This window comes from Homo sapiens, chromosome 17 (genome assembly GCF_000001405.40).
Source record: "Homo sapiens chromosome 17, GRCh38.p14 Primary Assembly".
NCBI lineage: Eukaryota > Metazoa > Chordata > Mammalia > Primates > Hominidae > Homo > Homo sapiens.
Genome location: NC_000017.11, coordinates 44391125 through 44416700, shown reverse-complemented (window position 1 = coordinate 44416700; position 25576 = coordinate 44391125). Strand labels below are relative to the sequence as shown.

General features: G+C 43.6%; 1 protein-coding gene and 1 pseudogene across 14 annotated transcripts in view, besides 2 other annotated features; both read left to right on the top strand.

The window, feature by feature from the left end:
- GPATCH8 (G-patch domain containing 8) overlaps positions 1-21420 on the top strand; it is a 108126-nt gene extending 86706 nt beyond the window's left edge. For 7 of the 14 annotated variants that reach the window (XM_011524557.2, XM_011524558.3, XM_011524561.3 and 4 more), the window contains 3 exons: positions 9435-9484; positions 10650-10780; positions 15248-21420. In XM_011524557.2, coding sequence (XP_011522859.1) covers positions 9435-9484; positions 10650-10780; positions 15248-19133 — 4067 coding nt within the window. In that variant the 3' untranslated portion in view covers positions 19134-21420. The remainder of the gene's footprint in view (positions 1-9434; positions 9485-10649; positions 10781-15247) is intronic. The other 7 variants (NM_001304939.2, NM_001304942.2, NM_001002909.4 and 4 more) reach the window with 1 other exon arrangement.
- RN7SL258P (RNA, 7SL, cytoplasmic 258, pseudogene) lies at positions 7343-7642 on the top strand (annotated as a pseudogene).
- Positions 16046-16509: a silencer, noted in NCBI's record as "fragment chr17:42477560-42478023 (GRCh37/hg19 assembly coordinates)". NCBI's record gives its function as "represses an EF-1alpha promoter that drives an FKBP-Casp9 reporter gene in an ReSE screen in K562 erythroleukemia cells {active_cell/tissue: K562}" and the evidence as "EXISTENCE:reporter gene assay evidence [ECO:0000049][PMID:32094911]".
- Positions 18721-19221: an enhancer, noted in NCBI's record as "H3K4me1 hESC enhancer chr17:42474848-42475348 (GRCh37/hg19 assembly coordinates)". NCBI's record gives its function as "activates a minimal SCP1, AML or CMV promoter by ChIP-STARR-seq in naive H9 embryonic stem cells {active_cell/tissue: H9 hESC(naive)}" and the evidence as "EXISTENCE:reporter gene assay evidence [ECO:0000049][PMID:30033119]".

Genomic DNA, 25576 nt, shown 5'->3' with positions numbered 1-25576 from the left:
AGTTGACTGTTTCATTACCCAATAACATGTATTACTTAAACAGCACAGTTCTCTTCAGGGATTATGCTTTAAGAAACAACACAGGTTTGAAGAAAGGAGTGCATCTCAGCACTTGAACATGTTGTAGTTTTATTTTAATAACCTATAGCAGAGAGGTGAAAATGTTGGGTTCAGTGGTATTCTATACCACTGTTCATACCATTTTCTTGGGGTCTGTTTTGCTTAATAAGAAAATTGACATCATTTGGCCAGTCTTCCAAAAATTTAGCATGTTTCATGCCTTTTCACCTGTTAAGTCTTATGTATTCATTCCCCTCTGCTTATGTTGGGAGTAAACTTATTATACCCAGCAATCACGACATAGCTAACCTTAAAAAAAAATCTGCTGAAGGCCAGGCATGGTGGCTCACGCCTGTATTCCCGGCATTTTGGGAGGCCGAGGTGGATGGATCACGTGAGGTGAGAAGTTCGAGACCAGCCTGGCCAACATGGTGAAATGAAACCCCATCTGTACTAAAAATACAAAAAAAAATTAGCTGGGCGTGGTGGCACACGCCTGTAATCCTAGCTGCTCGGAGGCTGAGGCAGGAGGATCGCTTGAACCCAGAAGACAGAGGTTGCAGTGAGCCAATATAGTACCGCTACACTCCAGCCTGGGCAACAGAGTGAGACTCCGTCTCAAAAACAACAAAACTGTTGAAAAAATCCCCTTCTGCTTAGGGGAGCTGTCTGCTTTTGTGATTAGGGGTAACCCTCAAAACAGACACTTCAGGACCTAATGTTGCCAGGGTAAACCAGGCATTCTCTTGTTATGTATTTCTAACTGTTCTTCATTTTGGCACTCAATCCCAGTTGACTAAAAATGATTCTGCCTTACTTTTGTTCTACAGTTTCAACCTTTCTGCCCCTTACACTTAATTTATCACAGTGATGCACTGTGGTAGAGATGCTGGGATTAGACTCTTTGTTCTATTGTAGTCAGAAAAGTTAAAGCAACCTAAGTAATAAGTTCTTTAGTGACAGTACTGTAAAGAGCTCTGAACTGGGTTGTTGTTGTGCCATTTGCTTTGGACCCAGGCAGCTCTTATGACTTATCCGCCTTCAGATTTTACCTATGGGGCAAATCTTTGTCCCCAGATATCTTCTTGGAGTGCTATGTAAATACAGATTGAGCATCCCAAATTCAAAAAATTAAAATCCAAAATGTTTCAAAATCTGAAAGTTTTTGAATGCCAACATGACTCTCAAAGGAAGTGTTTATTGGAGCATTTTGGGTTTTCAGATTTGGGATGCTCAAGCAGTAAATATACAATGCAAATATTCTAAAATGTAAAAAAGCCCAATATCTAAAACACTTCCAGTTCTAAGTATTTCAGATACGGGATACTCAACCTGTATACTTAAAGCTCATTATCTACAAAACCACAAAATTTATGTATACCATTTCATACCCACTGGGATGGCTAAAATAAAAATGGTACTCTAACAAAGTGTTGGAGAAGATATCAAGAAGTTAGAGCCCTCCTGCATTGCTGATGAGATAGTGAAAAGATAGTGGAAAAGTTTTTGACACTTCCTCAAAACATTAAATACAAAGTTACCATATTACTAGTATATACCCAAGGGAAGTGTAAACATATGTCCACACAAGAACTTGCCTAAAAATGTTTATAGCAGCATTCTTCATAATAGCCAAAAAGGGAAATAACCCACATGTCCATCAACTGGTAAATGGATAAAATGTGGTACATCTGTACAATGGAATATTATTCAGCAATAAAAAGGAAGGACTTACTGGTATATACAACATGCATGAATCTTGAAAATAGTATGCTAAGTGAAAGAAGCTGATCACAAAAGACCCCATATTGTATTATTTATATAAAAAGTCTAGAATAAACAAATGTATAGAGACAGAAAGCTGATTAGTAGATTCCTGGGGCTAGGCAAAGGGGAGATGGTGAGTAACTGCTTATGGGTATGAGGTTTCTTTTGGGAGTAATGAAAATGTTCTAAAATTAGATAGTGGTGATAGTTGCACAATTCTAAGAATGTACTAAAACCCACTAAATTTGACACTTTAGATGTGTGAATTTGGGCCAGGAGCAATGGCTCACGCCTGTAAACACTTTGGGAGGCCAAGGCAGGAGGATCCCTTGATCCCAGGAGTTTGAGACTATCCTGGGCAACATATGGAGATCCTGTCTCTACAAACATAAAAATAAATTAGCAGGGCATGATGGAGTGCATCTGTAGTCCCTGCTGTTTGAGAGGCTGAGGTGGGAAGGATCACTTGAGCCTGGGAGGTCGAGGCTGCAGTGAGCTCTGATTGTGCCACTGCTCTCCAGTGCAGTGACAAAGCAAAACCCTGTCTCCAAAAAAGGGGGGTGGGGTAAATTTTAGGGTATATGAAGTCTATCTCTAAGTCATTTTTAAAACCTCATTAACCAGCTTAAGTTTTCATGGTGGTAGTGGTGGTGAAAATATGTACTACATATACATATGTACATGTGTGTATGTATATGTTCATATATATATATACACATATATATATACACATATATATATATACACATATATATACATATATATATACACACATATATATATATACACACACATATATATATATATATATATATGCCTTAAAGCAGGCATACTTGGTGCTGTTAAAGAATATACCATACTTTTAAGGAGTTTTGCTGAATTCCTGAAAATAGCAAAACAAGCATTACATGGTAATTTTATGACAAATTAATTTGATATTGGACTATTCGGCCTGGCCGGGCACAGTGGCTCACACCTATAATCCCAGCATTTTGGGAATCCAAGGCGGGCAGATCACTTGAAGTCAGGAATTTGAGACCAGCCTGGCCAGCGTGGCAAAACCCCATCTCTACTAAAAATACAAAAATTAGCCAGGTATGGTGGCACGTGCCTGTAATTCCAGCTACCTGGGAGGCTGAGGCAGGAGAATTGCTGGAACCCAGGAGGTGGAGGCTACAGAGATCATGCCACTGCATTCCGGGCAAAAGAGCAAAACTCCATCTCAAAAAAATTAGCCCGGTGTGGTGGCACGCATCTATGGTCCCAGCTTCTCAGGAGGCTGAGGCAGGAGAATCGCTTGAACTCGGGAGGTTGCAGTGAGCCAAGATCGCGCCACTGCACTCCAGCCTGGGCTACAGAGTGAGACTCTGTCTCAAGGAAAAAAAAGAATTTGGGTTGGGCACAGTGGCTCATGCCTGTAATCCCAACACAAAAAATTAGCCGGGCATGGTGGTGGGAGCCTATAATCCCAGCTACGTGGGAGGCTGAAGCACAAGAATCGCTTGAATGTGGGAGGCGGAGGTTGCAGTGAGCTGAGATCATGCCACTGTACTCCATCCTGGGTGATAGAGGGAGACTCTGTCTCAAAAATAAGAAGAAAAAGAATTTGTATTTTTTTCTTTTTCTCTCAGTTTTTCACTATCTGTAATTGGCATTAGTATCTAATTTTCTCTCTTACCAAATACTTGGTTTTTTCTTACTGAATAAAATTAATTTTCATCACTTACTAATAGGCATATGGTAAAAGAAAGAATTTACATCTAATGTTCAGTAACGTGGCTTTCCCTAACCATTCATCTATAATCTTCCTTCACTGGGTAGTTTAATACTGAAACATTCTATATTCTCTCCTGGTCTTTTCTCTCACCCACCACCTGGTGATATCTTCTTGGGTGATCTCATCCATGAACATCAAACACTGAGACATGAATTAGGGTGACCCGGGCAAGCAACAACTACAGCATGATTACTTCAGTTAGGAAGGGGAGAGGAGACAGACATTAATGTTTTGTTGTAGAGGGAGGGGGAAAAAAAACAGTGGAGAGAAGAGGCTGTGATTTTGGTATGCAGGATCATTGACATAAGAGGAAAAGGAGTGGTTGAGATTTGAAGAAGGCCAGATTATGCTTAGCCAGAAATAGTGGTCGAGATACAACACATCTTTTTTTATTTTGTTTTAAAGACAGGTTCAGCTGGGTGTGGTGGCTCACACCTGTAATCCCAGCACTTTGGGAGGCAGAGGCAGGTGGATCACCTGAGGTCAGGAGTTCAAGACCAGCCTGGCCAACATGGTGAAACCCTGTCTCTACTAAAAATATAAATAGCCGGGTGTGGTGGCATGCGTCTGTAGTCCCAGCTACTCGGGAGGTTGAGGCCCGAGAATCACTTGAACTCAGGAGGTGGAGGTTGTGGTGAGCCAAAATTCTGCCACTGCACTCCAGCCTGGGTGACAGAGGGAGACTCTGTCTCAAAAAAATGAAATAAAAAATAAAATGAAAGGTTCTTGCTCTGTTTCCCAGGCTGGAGTGCAGTGGCACAATCATAGCTCACTGTGACCTTGAACTCAAGCAATCCTCCTGCCTCAGCCTCCCATATAGCTGGGATTACAAGCACATAACCACTGCGCCCAACTAATTTAAAAAAATTTTTTTGGCCGTGCGTGGTGGTTCATGCCTGTAATCCCGGCATTTTGGGAGGCCAAGGTGGGCAGATCACCTGAGGTCAGGAGTTTGAGACCATCCCGACCAACATGGAGAAACCCTGTCTCTACTAAAAATACAAAAATTAGCCAGGCGTGGTGGCGCATGCTTGTAATCCCAGCTACTCGGGAGGCTGAAGCAGGAGAATCCCTTGAACCTGGGAGGCAGAGGTTGCGGTGAGCTGAGATTGCGCCATTGTACTCCAGCCTGGGCAACAAGAGTGAAACTCCATCTCAATTTTTTTTTTATAGACACAGTCTTGCTGTGTTGCCCAGACTGGTCTTGGACTCCTGTCCTCAAGCGATCCTTTTACCTCAGCCTCCCAAAGTGTTGAGAGTACAGGTGTGAGCCACAACCCAGTTTGATAAATATTTACTGCGCATCTCTTTTGTGTCATAGACAACTATGTGTACATTGCATAGTTAGTTACAAAGAAAGACTAAGCCTCAGTCCCTGTTGGGAGAGCAGAGTTGCTATCTGGTGAGGGAAAGACGCCATGGATAATCTTTAGACCCTAAAGGGACAAAATCAAGTTTTCTCTTCAGAGCTGAGTAAATGTAGAACATGGGATTTTAGTGGCAGTAGGAAATATTCTGCCCTAAATTCTGCCTGTTTTCTGATACTTGAAATCCCCTTTACATGAGAAAAATGGGTTTTATTTAAATGTAGATAATCAATTTTAAATACTCGAGAAAGTAATCAGAATTATTCTTAGTATACTCCATCAAATATAAACTCCTAGTGTCAAATTTTATTTTGATGGTAGAGAGAAGCATAGCACTAAAAGATACAAAAAGATTTTGTTAAACCCTTGTATTATCTTTTGTTGTTAGAGAACACTGTGCAGAAATGTGTGTCTTACTCAACTCAATCACAGTTGAGCAGGAACACTGTTGCTCTTGACTATTGACAGAATGATGACTATCTTAAAAGTTCTAACCACTATAGAAAGAGGCCGTATTTCTTGGGAGCCATTTTACAGATGATCTGCAAAGCCCAATTGTCATAGTTGCCTTATTTTAATAGACACTGAGCAGAATGTTTCTGCTCTTGAAGTCTACACTTAAAGAGAAGTGGGTGGCTGTTGGGGTGTACCTTTTCTGCACATTTATAATCCACATTCAGATTTACCTGATTCTCATTTCTTTGGCTTAATCTTTTCAGTGATAGTAGAGCAATACTTTGTGTCCACAGTAAAACGTTTTTCTGCCAATATAATGCTGTTTAAGTTATGTTTTAAGAACTGGAATATCATTTCCATTTAGAGTGGTCTTTAACCCAAAGAGCCACAGTTAATGTGGATGGGTACTTCAAGTACTGGATCATTTGTTAGGGTCTTGCCTTTCTACTGGTCTTCTGGAAGGTGTAATGGAAATCCCAGCCACCATGTGATTAAGGATCTGTGGGAAATGTTCCTTCCATTCTGTACTGTGCCACAAATGTATACTGTTTTGGAAAAATGCTGTTGATTTTTCAGGAAAACAGAATCTTCATATCTTTTCATTTCCAGTGGGGTTCAGTCTCCTTTTCTTGAATTAAGGTATTTCCCAACTAAAAATGTGCTATGTGGCTTAAATTTTTGTTAATACCATTAGTGGTTCAATAACATAATCTAATTTATTAGCAGCTCTTCAGAAAGCATATCGTATAATTTTCAGAGATAAGGACATCTCATAGCTTTTGAGTCAGCTTAAATGGATAATTAAATCCATTCAAATTAGAATGTCCCATTTTGGAGTTTAACTTGAATTTTTGTGTATGGTATGGAATTTGCTCAGACTTTGACAAGAGATTGATGACATATCTGCAGTGTTTGGTCTTGTGAGCGCTGTCTCTTCTCTCATAGGCAGGCATGTTTCTCTATTCTCACCTGAAGAAATTATCTATAGTTGTGTTCCTCTTTAGAATTTAAGAGAAAAGTGCAGGTACAATTCACAGAATTTCACGTGGGTATTCCGTGACAAATGAGCCAGACGTTGGTAGCCTTTTGGAATAAAATAGGCAATTTTGGAAAACCTGACTCTGATTAGGTCCTTGTGCCTTTATAAAAATTACTTTTTAGGTAGGAAGCTGAGAAGTTTCTGGCCAGTATCTTTTGCCATTTGGCCCAATTCTGTCTAGAAATAAGAGGTATCTGGAGTGGTAACTAGGAGGACCATACTATATAACTTTAATATGTCCCTAATAAAGATACGAGAATACTTTATATCAACCTTTCCTACAAATAGTAGAAAAAATTATTTGAGGAAAAATGAAGGATCTGATGTTTGAACTGAATTATTCACTGGACATTTACCAGATGCCCTCCGTAGACTTAGTAGTGTTTTGTGCACTGCGGGGTTGATTATAAAGATAAGCTGTAGTCCCTGCCCCACACGGAGGGAAGGGAGTATTGAACAGTTGTGACTTATTAAATGCTTTACATTTATTTTGACATTTAATCTTGTTAATCTGTAGATAGATAGCCCTGTTTTTTAATGAGGGAGCTGGAACTCAGAGAGGTGAAATCACCTAGTAATAAGTGGATTGGCTAGTAATTAATGGATTTGAACCCAAGCTTTCTGACTCCGATGCTTTACACATACTGCCTTTTTAAAAGACAGGAATAACTGGTCAGAGAACAAAGTACGATAGCTGCTAGGTGAGCAGTATGACAAAGCACCACTAGGGACAGTTCAGAAAGAACAGTCACCTCTTTTGAAGGATCAGTGGAGACTTTGTAAGAATTTAGTCTGACCTTGAGTAGGCAGGAGACACTTGGAGTTAGGCATTCATTCTAGGTAAAGGAAAATATGAACCTTATAACCCATGTCTTGGCTGGGCGTAGTGGTGCATGCCTGTAGTCCTGGCTTCTTGGGAGGCTGAGGCTGGGGGTATCACTTGAGCCCAGGAGTTCTGAACTATAGTGCGCTATGCTGATTGGGTGTCTGCACTAAGTTAGGCATCATGTGATGAACTCCCAGGAGCTGGGGGCCAACCAAGTTTCCTAAGGAGAAGTGAACTGGTTCAGGTCGGAAACAGAGCAGGTCAGAACTCCCATGCTGATCAGTAGTGGAATCACACATGTGAATAGCCCCAGCACTCCCACCTGGGCAACAAAGTGAGACCTTGTCTCTTAAAAAAAAGTCGCCAGAATGTCCTCATCTGAGAGAAACCACAAGTATACATACTCAGTTTGAGATGGTTTGCTGAGTCCTGTCTCAAGGTTGGGGTGAGAATTCTGGGGTTCTCAATTCTGCTTTTGAGATTGCAGACTTGACTGTAAAGTTTGTAAATGTGATACTGGGAGCCTTCCTAAGCCTTATAGGGTATTCTTAGGATAGGTTTGCCCAGAGGGAGCCTGCAATTTAGATTCGTTTTATTGCTTCATCCCATCTTCTTCCGTATCTACCTCCAACCATATTCCTGTGGTAGGAACTTGAGATAGGATGTCTTCAGCATGATGTGGGCATGGTCCTGTTCCTTCATCTTCAAGGTTGTACAGAGTGGCTGCTGAATGGAAAGCCTAATCTTGACTCACCCTGGGGACTCCATACTTTGATAAAATGATTGTTCTTTTGGACAATGTCATGTAGTTTGAAAAATGCTTCCTAAAAGTAGTGAAATATTTGTAAGAGGGGAGGAAATGGCATGGGGAAATTTTCCAGTCTTAGCAGGTGGCTAGAGAGAAGATGGCAGGCCATAATGTATATGGACACAGTGGCTTATGCCTGTAATCCCATCACTTTGGGAAGCCGAGGCGGGCGGATCACCTGAGGTCAGGAATTGAAGACTAGCCTGGCCAAGAAAATGAAACTTCATCTCTACTAAAAATATAAAAAATCAGCCGGGTGTGGTGACAGGCACCTGTAGTCCCAGCTACTCGGGAGGCTAAGGCAGGAGAATTGCTTGGACCCGGGAGGCAGAGGTTGCAGTGAGCCAAGATCACACACCACTGCACTCCAGCCTGGGCGACAGAATAAAACTCCATCTCAAAAAAAAAAGAGAAAATGGCAGATGTGAGAAGAACATTATATTCTATCTAAATCTTGGTTAGAGAGCCTGTTACGTGTTTGGGGAAGAAAAAACTAGGTTTGTGGCCAAAAGTAATCATATAATAGGCCTGATAAGCCTTTTCTTTCTGCCCCATTCCCCTCAGGAGGAAGAAATTAGAATTCGTATTTATTTAAAATAGTTGATCCTTCATCTTGAAGTGGTTTTATAAAAATCTTAATTGTGGGCTGGGTGTGGTATCTCATGCCTTTAATCCCAGCACTTTGGGAGGCCGAGGCAGGTAGATCACTTGAGACCAGGAGTTTGAGACCACCCTGGCCAACATGGTGAAACCTCGTCTCTACTAAAAATATAAAAATTAGCCAAGCATAGGGGTTCACGCCTGTAATCCCAGCTACTTGGGAGGCTAACGCATGAGAATCTCTTAAACCTGGGAGGCGGAGGCTGCAGTGAGCCAAGATTGTGCCACTGCACTCCAGCCTGGGCAACAGAGTGAGACTCCATCTCAAAAAAAAAAAAAAAAATCTTAATTATGGGCACTAACAGTTTTGCCAGCTGTTCATTACTTGAACTTCCCCCATAATAAGGGCTAATGGAAACAGGACTGCTTTTTAATACCATAATGGTCTTTTCCAAAGTTCTGGAACCATTTTTCTGGAAGAAATACAGGTAGTTCCATTTTTCTAGGTGGGATTACTGTGTCAGTCTGTGTGTATGTACACATATATATGTTGTACAGGTGCTTCCCTTCTCCCTAGCCCTTTTAGAGTTGATGGCTTTGTCCCTGATTGTTCAGTATAATAGTTTACAGATTCACTAAGAGAGCTCGTGTAGTAATGCTTGCTTTATTTTTTTTTTCTCTTCCACTCTTGTTTTATTTTTTACTTTTTTTTCTTTGTGATGTGACATTTTCAGCTGATGTATTGAAAGCAAATCCTTCTAATTTGGGAGCCCAGATCACAAGAGTGAGTTTTTCTACTAGTGTCTTTAGCTGTATATCTTTTTTTGTGTGTGTCTTTTTACCCTTCCCCCCTCCCAATTTAAAAAGATTCAAAACACATTTCATAAATATTAGGTAAGAAAATTCCTCTGTCTGTTGAACATCATGCCTTTCTACAAAGCAATGTCCACTTTATACTGGGTCAAATTCCTTTTCCCAATGCTGTTGTAAAAGCATAGGTTAATGTATATGTTTCGTTTTGTTTGTTTCTTGTTATTATCTAATGTCTTGAAAATAATTTTAGTTCTGTCTTCATTGCAGATAGATATGTCTGGGTTCTGTCACCAGTGTGTCATAACACTGTTCTTTTTTGGTTGTAGTTTGTTTTGTTTTATTTTAAGGAAAATTATACAGTAGCTTCTGAAAATAAAAGACCCATTCTGTTACCTGGATTTTAAGTAATAAAATCTTTGACTTATCTCTGCTCTCCCTCCTCATCCCCTGGATATTCCTCTCAGGGCCATGAAGGAATGCAAAGCCTCACATACTACTTTCAGCAGGCTGACCAGATAAAAGTGGTCAGACTGGTGAGCTCTAAACATGCTAGCGCTGGAAGACCTGTCTTGGGTTTATTTAATAGTTATAGGAAACCTCTACTCATGCTGAAAGAAAAAAAAACCACCTTTTTATGGTGAAATAAAAGTATGCTTTCTATTTGTTCTAATTTAAATAACCCCCCCCCCCCATGTAAGCTGTACATTGCTTTTCAAGATCTTACACCTGGGTAATTTTCTGTACTAGCCTAACCCCTTTCTGTTCTCTTTGGCTTGTGTTATTACAATTTATCTCATGTTATGTTTGTCTAGTTTTGCATCCTGGAGGAGCAGGTGATTAAATAGTCCCTTTCTTTCCTCCCAGTGTTCTAAAATTTGCTTGTTGCATTTGAGATCATTTTATTTTGCCTAATAAAGCAAATGATATGCTGTCCTAATTAGAAATGCAGATACTGCAAGTGCTATACCCAAAGTAATCAGCCATTGTGTTTTCAATTGCCATAAGAGAATATGATAATGTGTTCAACACTAATACCATGACTGTTGGTTGAGGGTCATGTCCTAAAGGCTTTGCTTTCTGATTCCCAAGTTACTGTAAATCATCCACCCTCTGTATCTTTCTTTCTTTTAACCCAGAGATTAAAAGATCTGAAGCAGAGAGAGTTTGCTCGAAATGTCTCTTCAAGATCCCGCAAGGATGAGAAAAAACAGGAAAAAGCCCTTCGGCGGCTCCATGAGTTGGCAGAGCAAAGAAAACAAGCTGAATGGTGAGGATATTTTTTATCAGAGGGTTGTACAGATAATTATAATCCTTAAAATTTTAAATTATAGATTTCAGATTATAATTTAAGATTTAAATTAAGATTTAAGAATTAAAAACCTTGTGCCAGGCGCAGTGGCTCACCCCTATAATCCCAGCACTTTGAGAGACCGAGGCGGGCGGATCACGAGGTCAGGAGATTGAGACCATCCTGGCTAATACGGTGAAACCCCATCTCTACTAAAAATACAAAAAATTAGCCGGGCATGGTGGCGAGCGCCTGTAGTCCCAGCTACTCTGGAGGCTGAGGCAGGAGAATGGCGTGAACCTGAGAGGCAGAGCTTGCAGTGAGCCAAGATCGCACCACTGTACTCCAGCCTGGGCGACAGAGCAAGACTCTGTCTCAAAAAAAACAAAAGTGGCCGGGCATGGTGGTTCACGCCTATAATCCCAGCACTTTGGGAGGCCGAGGCGGGCAGATCACCTGAGGTTGGGAGTTCGAGACCAGCCTGACCAACATGGAGAAACCCCGTCTATACTAAAAATACAAAATTAGCCGGGCGTGGTGGCACATGCCTATAATCCCAGCTACTAGGGAGGCTGAGGCAGGAGAATCGCTTGAACCTGGGAGGCGGAGGTTGTGGTGAGCCAAGATTGCGCCATTACACTCCATCCTGGGCAACAAGAGTGAAACTCCGTCTCAAAAAAAAAAAAAAAAGAATTATAAACCTTCAGTTTTTATTAATTGACAGATAACAACTGTACATATTCATAGGTTACCTAGTAATGTTTCAATACATATAATATATAGCGATCAGATCAGGGTAATTACCATATCCATCATCTCAAACATTTATTATTTCTTTGTGCAGGAACATTCGGTATCCTCTTTCTAACTATTTGAAACTATATAGTATTGTTAACTCTAGTTATCCTACAGTGGTACAGAACACTGGAACTTACTCTTCCTAGTTAGCTGTAATTTTGTAACAAATCTCTCCTTCCGCCCTTCCCAGCTTCTAGTATCCTCTGTTCTACTTTTTACTTCTATGAGATCAACTTTTTTTTTTAAGCTTCCACATATGAGTGGCAACCTGCAGTGTTTGATTTTCTGTTCCTGGGTTACTTTACTTAACATAATAATTAGTCCTCCAGTTCCTTAAAATGTTTAATAGATCCTTCTTTCAAACTAAAAGCATATCTATATAATTATAGTATAATATACTGATTAAGTTTGTGTATTTTTGAGGCCATATTTTTCTTACTATTTATGTGACTTAATGAAATTATATCTAAACTCTCTATGCCTCAGTTTCCTTATCTGTAAGATAGAGATAAGAACAACTTACAGTTGTTGTGAGGAGTGATTATTACCTCAGAAATGCTTGAAGGGATGCCTAGCACATCAAAGATTCTCAATAAATCAATAAATTATGACACTATTACAATGATTCCCATTTTCTAACATTTATATTAAAAAGCATATGCTGGGCATAGTGACTCGCACCTGTAATCCCAGCACCTTGGGAGGCCAAAGTAAGAGGATCACTTGAACCCAGGAGCTCAAGACCAGCCAGGGCAACATAGGAAGACCCTGTCTCTAAAAAAAAAAAATCTTAAAAATTAGCCGGGCATGGTGGCACATGCCTGTAGTCCCAGCTACTCAGGAGCCTGAGGTAGAAGAATCACTTGAGCCTGGGAGATCAAGGCTGCAGTGAGCTGTGATCACAGCACTGCACTCCAGCCTGGGTGATAGAGCAAGACCCTGTCTCAAAAAAAAGAATCCCCTTTTTATTCAGTTTGCGGGGCGTTGTTTTTTATTTGTTTGCTGTGGAGTAGGTTTCATAACACAGTGTAAGTATTTCTTGCTCTCCAAATCTGTTGAGTTCTCATTTTCCAGTAGCAATAGTTTAGATAGCAAGAGATTACACATTGGCCGGGCACGGTGGCTCACGCCTGTAATCCCAGCACTTTGGGAGGCCGGGGTAGGTGGATCACCTTAGGTCAGGAGCTTGAGACCAGCCTGACCAACATGGTGAAACTCTGTCTCTACTAAAAATACAAAAATTAGCCGGGCATGGTGGCGTACGCCTGTAATCCCAGCTACTAAGGAGGCTGAGGCAGGAGAATTGCCTGAACCCAGGAGGCAGAGGTTGCAGTGAGCCAAGATTGTACCATTGCACTCCAGCCGGGGCAACAAGAGCAAAACTCCAGCTTGGGAGAAAAAAAAAAAAAAGAGAGATTACATATTGTCTGAATATACTTATCCCTGAGTTGAGGAAAGCTGTTAGCTAGGGTTTGGATAACAAGGACATCATATAAATAGGTCTCTGATTCTGTTTAGTTCTTGATTTGGAATTTAAGGGTATAGTGTACGCTGTATAGTGTACAAACTATAAAAATTGCAAGCCAGATGCGCAGTGGCTCACATCTGTAATCCCAGCACTTTGTGACACAGAGGCAGGAGGATCACTTGAGGCCAGGTGTTCAAGACCAAACTGGTCAACATAGCAAGACTCTGTCTCTGCAAAATTTTTTTTTAATTAGCCAGCATGGGCCGAGCATGGTGGCTCAAGCCTGTAATCCCAGCACTTTGGGAGGCCGAGGCAGGTGGATCACGAGGCCAAGAGATCAAGACCATCCTGGCCAACATGGTGAAGCCCATCTCTACTAAAAATACAAAAATTAGCTGGGCATGGTGGTACATGCCTGTAGTCCCAGCTACTTGGGAGGCTGAGGGAGGAGAATCACTTGAACCCGGGAGGTAGAGGTTGCAGTGAGCCGAGATCGCACCACTGTACTCCAGCCTGGGCAATAGGGTGACACTGTCTCAAATAAATAAATAAAATTAGCCAGCATGGTGAGGTGCACCTGTAGTCATAGCTACTTAGGAGGCTGAGGTGGGAGGATTGAGCCAGGAGTTTGAGACTGCAATGAGCTATGATCATGCCACTTCACTCCAGCCTGGGCAATGCAGTTAGACCCCACCTCAGAAAAATAAAACTTTCAGGCAAGATCATCAGTTTAAAACTATTGAGGCTCCTTGATGTTCCTTTTGTCAAAGATGAAAGTGCTCAGGTAACATTATGACTGTAGTACTGAATGCCCAGAAACTGCCACAAAACCAAAGCAAATGCTTGTTACGGTACCCAGGAGATAGGCATGGACTTTTTAGTTTCTGTGGCAGACATGCTGACCACAGACTGCCATAAGTAGCACAGTGGAAGTTTCTATGTTTAACTCAGAATATGCAAATTTTTAAAAAATGAAATTTGAAAGCATGGGGAAATTTTTATTTTTATTTTTTTTAGAGGTGGGGTCTCACTATGTTGCCCAGACTGGTCTTGATCTCCTGGCCTCGAGCAATCCTCCCTCCTCAGCCTTCTGAATCACTGAGATTACACATGTGAGCCACCCTGACCCAGCAAGAGTTTTTCTTTAATTGAATGAAATAAAACCTATGTGAATACATGTACAGCCATACATTAGATAACATACTGATGGACAAAATTATAAAATAAGAAATGAGATCAGAAACATAGTAATGATGGGCTATTTCAGTCGTGACATAAGTCTTACTTTTTTTTTTTTTTTTTTTTTTTTGAGACAGAGTCTTGCTCTGTCACCCAGGCTGGAGTGCAGTGGTGCTGCGATCTCAGCTCACTGCAACCTCTGCCTCTCCCAGGTTCAAGTTATTCTTCTGCCTCAGCCTCCTGAGTAGCTGGGATTACAGACGCCCGCCACCACAGCCAGCTAATTTTTGTATTTTTAGCAGAGGCGGGGTTTCACCATGTTGGTCAGGCTGGTCTTGAACTCCTGATCTCATGATCTGCTCGCCTCCACCTCCCAAAGTGCTGGGATTACAGGCGTGAGCCACTGCGCCCGGCCTGTACTTTATTTTTTATTTTTTTTTTTAATTTTTTTGAGAGGGAGTCTCGCTCTGTCACCCAGACTGGAGTGCAGTGGCGTGATCTTGGCTCACTGCAACCTCCATCTCCCAGGTTAGAGCGATTCTTCTGCCTCAGCCTCCCAAGTAGCTGGGATTACAGGTGTGTGCCACCATGCCTGGCTAATTTTTGTATTTTTAGTAGAGACAGGGTTTCACCGTGTTGGCCAGGCTGTTTACGAACTTCTGACCTCAAGCAGTCTGTCCACCTTGGCCTCTCAAAGTGCTGGGATTACAGGCATGAGCCACCACACCCAGCTTTTTGTACTTTAGACAGCTTAAGGAAAAGCTATGTAATAACTGGCTGGCCCTGGGAATTTGGTAGGTTAACAGAATGAGTCTTTGCCTAACCTCCTCTTAGAAAGTCGCATTTGTTAGTATAGGGCTAGGGAATATGACCACCACTCACTGTCTTTGAGACCTACCTATAATGAATGATAGGATATAAGAGATTAGTATTTTATAAGGTTTATGAAATGTACTCCTAAACCTGCTTTTTGTTTTTTATTTTTCTAAATCATCATGTAGTGCACCTGGAAGTGGTCCCATGTTCAAACCAACCACAGTGGCTGTAGATGAAGAAGGTGGAGAAGATGATAAAGATGAATCAGCTACAAATAGTGGCACAGGTGCCACTGCTTCTTGTGGCCTGGGATCTGAATTCTCCACAGATAAAGGAGGCCCTTTCACTGCAGTACAAATCACTAATACCACTGGACTGGCCCAGGCTCCTGGGTTAGCCTCCCAAGGCATCAGCTTTGGCATTAAGAATAATCTGGGGACCCCATTGCAAAAATTGGGAGTGTCATTTTCTTTTGCCAAAAAGGCTCCTGTCAAACTCGAATCAATAGCATCAGTTTTCAAGGACCATGCGGAGGAAGGGACCTCTGAAGATGGAACAAAACCCGATGAGAAGAGTTCTGACCAAGGACTGCAGAAGGTAGGAGACTCTGATGGGAGCAGTAATCTTGATGGTAAAAAAGAGGATGAAGACCCTCAGGATGGAGGGTCCCTTGCCTCAACATTATCCAAATTAAAAAGGATGAAACGAGAAGAAGGAGCTGGGGCTACAGAGCCTGAGTATTACCACTACATCCCCCCAGCACACTGCAAAGTAAAACCTAATTTTCCCTTTCTACTTTTTATGAGAGCCAGTGAACAAATGGATGGTGATAATACTACACACCCAAAGAATGCCCCAGAGAGTAAAAAAGGCAGTTCTCCCAAGCCTAAAAGCTGCATCAAGGCGGCAGCAAGCCAAGGAGCAGAAAAGACAGTTAGTGAAGTCTCTGAGCAGCCGAAGGAAACCAGCATGACCGAGCCCTCAGAACCAGGAAGCAAAGCTGAGGCAAAGAAGGCCTTAGGAGGGGATGTAAGTGATCAGAGTTTAGAAAGTCATAGTCAGAAGGTTTCAGAGACCCAAATGTGTGAGTCCAACTCTTCTAAAGAAACCTCTCTGGCCACCCCAGCAGGGAAAGAAAGCCAAGAAGGACCCAAACATCCTACTGGTCCCTTCTTCCCAGTTTTGAGCAAAGATGAAAGCACTGCCCTCCAGTGGCCATCAGAACTATTAATTTTCACCAAGGCAGAACCCTCCATTTCATACAGTTGTAACCCTTTATATTTTGACTTTAAACTTTCAAGGAACAAAGATGCCAGAACTAAAGGAACAGAAAAACCAAAGGATATAGGAAGCTCCTCAAAGGACCATCTCCAAGGCCTAGATCCTGGTGAGCCAAATAAAAGCAAGGAAGTGGGCGGAGAGAAAATAGTACGTTCCTCAGGAGGCAGAATGGACGCACCTGCTTCAGGGTCTGCCTGTAGCGGCCTGAACAAGCAGGAGCCTGGGGGTAGCCATGGGTCTGAGACAGAAGACACAGGGAGAAGCCTTCCCAGCAAGAAAGAACGATCTGGGAAGTCCCACCGGCACAAAAAGAAAAAGAAGCACAAAAAATCCAGCAAACACAAACGTAAACACAAGGCTGACACAGAAGAGAAAAGCTCTAAGGCAGAGTCAGGGGAGAAATCTAAGAAGCGCAAGAAACGAAAACGAAAGAAGAATAAGTCATCAGCCCCAGCAGATTCTGAACGAGGACCCAAACCAGAACCCCCTGGGAGTGGCAGTCCCGCACCACCAAGAAGAAGGCGGAGAGCTCAAGATGACTCCCAGCGGAGATCCCTCCCAGCTGAAGAGGGGAGCAGTGGCAAAAAGGATGAAGGTGGGGGTGGTAGCAGCTCCCAAGACCATGGTGGGAGGAAACACAAAGGTGAACTTCCACCTTCATCCTGCCAGCGAAGAGCAGGCACCAAACGGAGCAGCCGGTCTAGCCATCGGAGCCAACCCAGTAGTGGAGATGAGGATAGTGATGATGCTTCCTCACACCGGCTGCACCAGAAGTCTCCATCCCAGTACAGTGAGGAAGAAGAAGAGGAAGATTCAGGCAGTGAGCATTCCCGCAGCCGCTCAAGGTCTGGCCGGCGCCATTCCTCGCATCGTTCCTCCCGGCGTTCTTACTCAAGTAGCTCAGATGCCTCTTCAGACCAGAGCTGCTATAGTAGACAGCGCAGTTACTCTGATGACAGCTACAGTGACTACAGTGACAGATCACGAAGGCACTCCAAGCGCTCCCATGACTCAGATGACTCAGACTATGCCAGCTCCAAACACCGATCAAAACGGCACAAATATTCATCTTCTGATGATGACTATAGCCTCAGTTGCAGCCAGTCCCGAAGCCGATCTCGGAGTCATACCAGAGAGCGCTCAAGATCCCGGGGCCGCAGCCGCAGCAGCAGTTGTAGTCGTAGTCGAAGCAAGCGGAGAAGCCGTAGCACCACAGCCCACAGCTGGCAACGGAGCCGGAGCTATAGCCGGGACCGCAGCCGCAGCACCAGGAGCCCTTCCCAGAGATCAGGCTCCAGGAAGAGATCATGGGGTCACGAGAGCCCTGAGGAGAGGCATTCTGGGCGTCGGGACTTCATTCGTTCTAAGATCTACCGCTCCCAGTCCCCCCACTATTTCCGATCAGGCCGGGGAGAAGGTCCTGGGAAGAAAGATGATGGCAGAGGAGATGACAGTAAAGCAACAGGTCCACCTTCCCAGAACAGCAACATTGGCACAGGAAGAGGGTCAGAAGGTGACTGCAGTCCTGAAGACAAGAACTCTGTCACTGCCAAACTGCTACTGGAGAAGATCCAGTCAAGGAAAGTGGAGAGGAAACCTAGTGTGAGTGAGGAGGTGCAGGCCACCCCTAATAAAGCTGGGCCCAAGCTCAAGGACCCCCCACAAGGTTACTTTGGGCCCAAGCTCCCCCCATCTCTTGGCAATAAGCCTGTCCTTCCACTGATAGGGAAGCTCCCAGCTACCCGAAAGCCCAATAAGAAGTGTGAAGAGTCTGGCTTGGAAAGGGGGGAAGAGCAAGAACAGTCAGAGACAGAAGAGGGGCCCCCAGGGAGTAGTGATGCCCTATTTGGGCATCAGTTCCCTTCAGAGGAAACAACTGGCCCCTTATTAGACCCACCCCCAGAAGAGTCAAAGTCTGGAGAAGCTACTGCTGATCACCCTGTGGCTCCACTAGGCACCCCAGCACATTCTGACTGCTACCCTGGGGACCCAACCATCTCCCATAACTACCTCCCCGACCCCAGTGATGGGGACACCCTGGAGTCCCTGGATAGCAGCAGTCAGCCAGGCCCTGTGGAGTCCAGCTTGCTGCCTATAGCACCAGACCTTGAGCATTTCCCCAGTTATGCACCTCCCAGTGGGGATCCTAGTATTGAGTCAACAGATGGGGCTGAGGATGCTTCACTGGCCCCCCTGGAAAGCCAGCCCATCACCTTCACCCCTGAGGAGATGGAGAAGTACAGCAAGCTCCAGCAGGCTGCTCAGCAACACATCCAGCAGCAGCTTCTGGCCAAGCAAGTAAAGGCCTTTCCAGCCTCAGCTGCCCTGGCCCCAGCCACACCAGCCCTGCAACCCATCCACATTCAGCAGCCAGCTACAGCCTCTGCCACCTCCATCACAACTGTTCAGCATGCCATCCTACAACATCATGCTGCCGCAGCTGCTGCCGCCATCGGCATTCACCCTCACCCCCATCCCCAACCACTTGCCCAGGTGCATCATATTCCCCAGCCCCATCTGACCCCCATTTCTTTGTCCCACCTCACTCACTCAATCATCCCTGGCCACCCTGCCACCTTTCTCGCTAGCCATCCCATCCACATCATTCCCGCCTCAGCCATCCATCCTGGGCCCTTCACCTTTCACCCTGTCCCACATGCTGCCCTCTACCCCACCCTACTTGCTCCACGGCCTGCTGCAGCAGCTGCCACTGCACTTCACCTTCACCCACTACTTCACCCCATCTTCTCAGGTCAGGACCTGCAACATCCCCCCAGCCATGGCACGTGAGTTGGGGGATGGGATCCTAGGTAGGGCCAGGGGAGGAGACCCATAAATGTTCCCTTGGGGGTGTTGAGCCATTAATACCAGCAAGTAGAAGCTGGGATGGGCAGTGTCTGACAGCCAAAGAATTGAGTTTTGGCTTGCAGGGGTGGGTTTAGATTTGAAGTTTGCTTTCAGTTTACTATCAGGGATTTCTTTTTCCTGTCCTCCTCTCAATTTGTCCCTCCCTCTTCTGTGTTTCTAAGCTAGGGAACACCAGTAAGTGCTACCCACCCCTCTGCAGCAACATCTCCAAACTGTCAAGTTTAGATAATCCCCTCCTCCCTCTGCTTTTTTCCTCTGCTCTTCCCTTCTGTAAATTTTAAAACATTTTCCTCCCCTCTGGCCAGTGGGTTGTCACCAGAGCACTTGCTGTGGGCCCATCTGGTCTTGCCTTCTCAGCGCCACAGGGAAGGCCAAGCTGTTCTAGTGGTGGAAGTGCCACCATTTTGGGGTAGTATCTTTGACCATCTTTGGTGACGTTACGTTATCCCAGGTGAGGTGGAAAGCGTCTCACCTGGAACCTGATATAACTCAGGCTGCAATTCCATCCAGTTCCCACATCAACGGAGCCACACATTTGGCACTGTTATCTTGGTATCCCTCATCCCAGAAGAGGCATCTCCATATCCCAGAAAAGAAGATCCTATCATGAATAAAAGCTGTATGGCCCAGAGAGGAGCTCATGTGTCTAAAGTGAAGGGTATATTTTCTTCTGTTGTGTTGATGTTTCCTTCTTAATTTATAGGATTTTTTTAATGTAAAAAATTGCACTGAACTCTATAAACGTAAATGCTGCTTTTTGTAGCTCATATAAAAAAGGTTCCATATTTGTAGTATACTGCAATAATATTTTTTACATCCAGCTCTTTAAGTGATCCTCGTTCTGGTGGCTTTGTGTAAATATGTTTGCCCTAGTTGAATTAAGAAACTCTAAAGGTTATAAAATGAAAACAAAAAATAAAATATTTGTTTTCTGCTAGATGCAAAACTGACTAAGCATGTATATTTTACCAAACTTATGTATTTTTTGAAGTTATGAACTATAAAATGTTAAAACATTTTTTGCTGGGACAAAATGTTAAGTAATTTGCAGTATGTAGTGCCCCCAGTATTGGGATTTTTGAGCTAATGGGCAGCAGTCAGCTGGGGGCTTCTGAGGGATGCTCATCTTTAACAGTCTCCCTCATGTACTTTTGCTGTTTTACACAGAGAAACAGGTAGACCCCACAGAGGAGAAGGAGGGGATTCAACAGCTTTATTGTCTGGAAGCAGTGAGATTTGGTGATTGTCTGGGGGGATTCCTGGGTTTCCCTGGGTACCTTGTTCCAGGCAGTCAGTCCATTTGCCTTCCTAGTACTTAGCCCCCTCTGACAATTTTTTTTTTAATGTGCCTTTTGGGTTGGTAGAAACGGAAGTAGAAGTAGGCTGGAGGATGAGTTGGGACAGTCTTCCTTTTGTTGGGAGGTGAGCACATTTACAGATATTTTGCTTCATAGTTTCCATGCCCTCTGCCCAGCTCAGTTTAGACAGTAAACGTTCCTTGTTTCTTTTCTCCCATGACACTGACAAGAGGAATTACCACCTCAGCCTCTTTTGCCCCTCTTCTTGCCTTTCACCCAGGCTCTCAGCCCTAATTAACACACTGACCCAAAGGTGCTTGTGTTGCAGGTCCCATCTCCTTTGATGAGGTTAACAATTCCCACTTTGGCATTTTCCTAACTATTCGTGTGGCTAGAATTGGTTGGTTGGTCACTTGACAAGAAAAACCATACTTACCTGGGCCAAGGCTCTGTTCCTGCCTTCGCAAATTCTCAAAAGAGTAAAGTTTATGAAAAGAAAGTGGCAGGCAAACACAACTCTTGACTGCCCTCCCACCCTCCTACCTGTTCAGTACTCATCTGATTCAGAAGCATCACTTCTTGGATAACTAGCACTGGAAAAATGAAATCATCTGTGTAAGTGAAGGGACTCATTTTTCTTTGCTTTCAGCCCATGTAAATAAATAATACAGTATTAACATTTTCGTGCTGCTTCCCATTAGCTTGTAGATTGAGCCATACTCTGGCTGCCTCTTTGCCTTCCTAGGGGCATTTTCTTTAACTTCCAGAATAGTGATTTTAAAAGTAAAAATAAAAATAAACCTTACTTACAAGCATAACAGATTGTATTTAACTTTATCACATATGATAGAGATATATATGCTGTAAAATGAGGGAAAGGAACTTTCTAATAAACCAATGATTTGTGGAAACTTAGCAGAGTCTGTCGTAATTGTTGCCCCATCCACTCAAAGTTAGGTAGGGTTGGAGGTGTGGGTTATAAATAACATCTTGTTTGACATGACCAAGGAATAGATTCCTGTGAACCAGTTAGAGATGTTTGCAGTTGTGCTTCTGAAAGCTCAGGCTACGCAAAGAGAGAGGAAAGATGATGGTGTGGGAGGTGGTAATAGTAGTTAATTTCTCTCAGTTGTAGGTAGATGTATTGGGATGTACACCTCCTTTCCACTTCCTCTTTCCCACAAGAGGAAAGATTTCCTTCCATTTTAGATATATAATCTGTGTGTAGTAGAATATATGGTGTATATATAGGTGCTTACTAAATGGGTGTGGAATTTCTGGCTTTGAATTTTAGGATTTTGGACTACTTTAAGGGCACTGAGATGACAAGAATCATCTGCCGGACTTTTGTCCTCCAGGTGGAGTTCTGTATGCCAGTCTTCAGTTACTCTCCTCAGCCCTTTAATACCACTACAGTGTTTGAGCACCTCTACTTGGTATAAGGAAATATGGCCTAATTGTTACAGAGAAGATATAACCCCTACTCTTCCATATCAAAAAATCACAAAAGAGGCAGGGAAAATTTAGCATGGAAAGCTACCATAGAGTTGTAGTGATAAATTAGCTTTCCCTCTCAACCTCAGCCTTTCAAGAAGGAAAGGCTTTCTTTCCTACTGTCTTTTGATACATTTCTTTCCTACTCTGTTTGATACATCTGTGTTCTCCCTTTGATTAAAGAGGAGCTGTTCAACTTGAACCTGGGGTTGAGTACTCAGATCTGCCTATATTCCTAAAATAGCAAAGATCCTTACCCAGAAAGAAATGACATTAGACCTACAAAAATTAGCCGGGCGTAGTGGCACACGCCTGTAATCCCAGTTACTCGAGAGGCTGAGGCAGGAGAATCGCTTGAACCGGGAGGTTGCCGTGAGCCAAGATCACACCACTGCACTCTAGCCTGGGCAACAGCGTGAGACCCTGTCTGTCTCACACACACACACACACACACACGTTAGAAAATGAAAAGTGAGGCCAGGTGTGGTGGCTCATGTCTAATCCCAGCACTTTGGAAGGCCAAGGCAGGTGGATCACTTGAGGTCAGGAGTTTGAGATCAGCCTGGCCAACATGGTGAAACCCCATCTCTACTAAAAATTTAAAAAAAAAAAAAAAATTGGCCAGGCATGGTGGTGCATGCCTGTAATTGCAGCTACTCAAGAGGCTGAGGTAGGAGAATCGCTTGAACGTGGGAAGTGGAGGTTGCAGTGAGCCAAGATCATGCCACTGCACTCCAGCCTGAGTGATAGAGTGAGACTCCGTCTCAAAAAAAAAAAAAAAAAAAAAAAAATGGGCGGGGCACGGTGGCTCAAGCCTGTAATCCCAGCACTGAGGCCGAGGTAGGCGAATCACGAGGTCAGGAGAGATCGAGACCAGCCTGACTAACATGGTGAAGCCCCGTCTTTACTAAAAATACAAAAATTAGCCAGGCATGATGGCGTGCGCCTATAATCCCAGCTATTCAAGAGGCTGAGACAGGAGAATCACTTGAACCCGGGAGGCAGAGGTTCCAGTGAGCCAAGATCATGCCACTGCATTCCAGCCTGGGTGACAGAGTGAGACGCCATCTCAAAAACAAAAAAAAAGTGATTTTCTGAGAGCAGGGGAGGTGACAAGTCAAAGAGGCAGACTGGACTGTATAGAGTGTTATGTGAAGATACGTGCAGTTAATTGCCTTGTTCTGATAAGGCCTCAGCCACCTTGGCCTGAAACATGAAAGTACTCCCTCTTCAAACCCTTGATGACTAATTCAGGCCTCGTCAGCCATTTCCATTCTTATTTGCCAAAGACAGCTTCACTCACTTCTACCAACTCATATCTCAATTTTTGCAGCATTTTCCTGGGTGGCCTTCCTGACTAGAACCTAATTTCCTGTTCTGTGTAAGCTTACTGGCTTTTCAGAATCTGAATGCAGCTCATTTTGTATTCATTGCTTCCCAGTAAAATTGTAATCTCTGAGAGAACAGGGAGTGATTCTTATATCCCCCCACCGCAGCCCCCAACGTATCTCACACTGAATACATAGTAAACATTTTGATTATATGTTCAAGAATATGAGCAAAGTGGCCAGGCACAGTGTCTCATGCCTATAATCCCAGTACTTTGGGAGGCCAAGGCAGGAGGATCTCTTGAGCTCAGAAATTCGAGGCCAACCTGGGTAACATAGCAAGACCCCATCTCTACAAAACAATTTAAAAATTAGCTGGGCATGGTGGCACAAGCCTGTGGTCCCAGCTATTCATGAAGCTGATGTGGGAGGACTGCTTGAGCCCAGGGGTCAAGTCTGTAGTGAGCCATGTTCAGGTCACTGTACTACAGCCTGGGTGACAGAGCAAGATCCTGTCTCAAAAATAAAAAGAATATGAGCCAAGTAAAATATCATTAACTGAGGATTGTGCATCAGAATTGAGCCAAAAAAAATTCAAAAATGTGTTTTTTGGTTTTTGGTTTTTTGGGTTTTTTGAGATGGAATTTTGCTCTTGTTGCCCAGGCTGGAGTGTGATGGCACGATCTCGGCTGACCGCAACCTCCGTCTCCCAGGTTCAAGCAATTCTTCCTCAGCCTCCCAAGCAGCTGAGATTATAGGTGTGCACCACCACACCCGGCTAATTTTTGTATTTTTAGTAGAGACAGGGTTTTGCCATGTTGGCCAGGCTGATCTCAAACTCCTGGCCTCAAGCGATCCGCCCACCTTGGCCTCCCAAAGTGTTGGGAGATTACAGGTGTGAGCCACCATGCCCAGCAAAAAAAAAAAAAAAAAAAAAAAAAATTGTTTTTTAGGCATAGTCTTACTCTTGCCCAGGCTGGAGTGGAGTGGCAAAATCGTAGTGCACTGTAACCTAAAACTCGTGGGCTCAAGTGATTCTCCTGCCTCGGCCTCCTCAGTAGCTGGAACTACAGGTGTGCACTACCGTGCCTGGCTAATTTTAATTTTTTTGTAGAGACAGGGTCTCACTATGTTGCCCAGGCTGGTCCCAAACACCTGGCTTCAAGCAATCCTCATCTTGGCCTCCCAAAGTGCTAGGGTTACAGGCATGAGCCACCAAACCTGGTGTAAAAAATCTTTATAATTTTATTTTTCTTTTCTTTCTTTCTTTTTTTCTTTTTTGATGGAGTCTCACTCTGTCGCCCAGGCTGGAGTGCAGTGGCATGATCTTAGCTCACTGCCACCTCCGCCTCACAGGTTCAAGCAATTCTTTTGCCTCAGCCTCCCAAGTAGCTGGGATTACAGACACACACCACCACGCCCAGCTAATTTTTGTATTTTTAGTAGAGACGGGGTTTCACTAGGTTGGCCAGGCTGGTCTCAAACTCCTGACCTTGTGGTCCACTCGCCTGGGCCTCCCAAAGTGCTGGGATTACAGGCATGAGCCACCATGCCCGGCTAAAATCTTTATGATTTTCCATCCCCCATGGATTAAAGTTCAGATTCCTTAATATGGCATTCAAGGACCTCCAGTAATTTGAATCCCCAAGCTTTACCCCCTTGCGCCTCAGTCCAACCCTTTAAGCATTCTGCTATGCTGAGTCAACTACTTGTCCTTCCCTACCTCTGTGTTCCTTTGCTGCTCTCATGTATTCTCTATGCCTAAAAACCCTTTCATTCTCTGACAAAAGGCAACTTGAACATGAGTTCAAGTGCAACCCATGTTTGAATCTTAGTTTTGCCATCTGTTGGCTGCGTAAACATGGGCAATTTACCTAAAACTCTTGTGCCACAGTTTTGTGTTTATAAAATGGGCATAATAGTACTTATTTCCTAGGGTTGTTATGAGTAACAATGATATACGACTTTGATAATCTGTGTATTTTTCAAGGCATGCTTGACTGTCTCTCTGCTGCAGTTATGTGTGTTCATGTCTTAACTCTTTCTGGGCTGTTTGTTAAGTCTCCTTGATGGCTATCTTTGGAGTTTTTAAAATATTTTATTTTTTATAATTTTAAAATAGAGACGAGGTCTCACTGTATTGCCTAGGCTGGTCTTAAATGCCTGAGCTCAAGCCATCCTCCTGCCTCAGCCTCCCAAAGTGCTGGGATTACAGGCATGAGCCACTATACCTGGCCTAATGGTT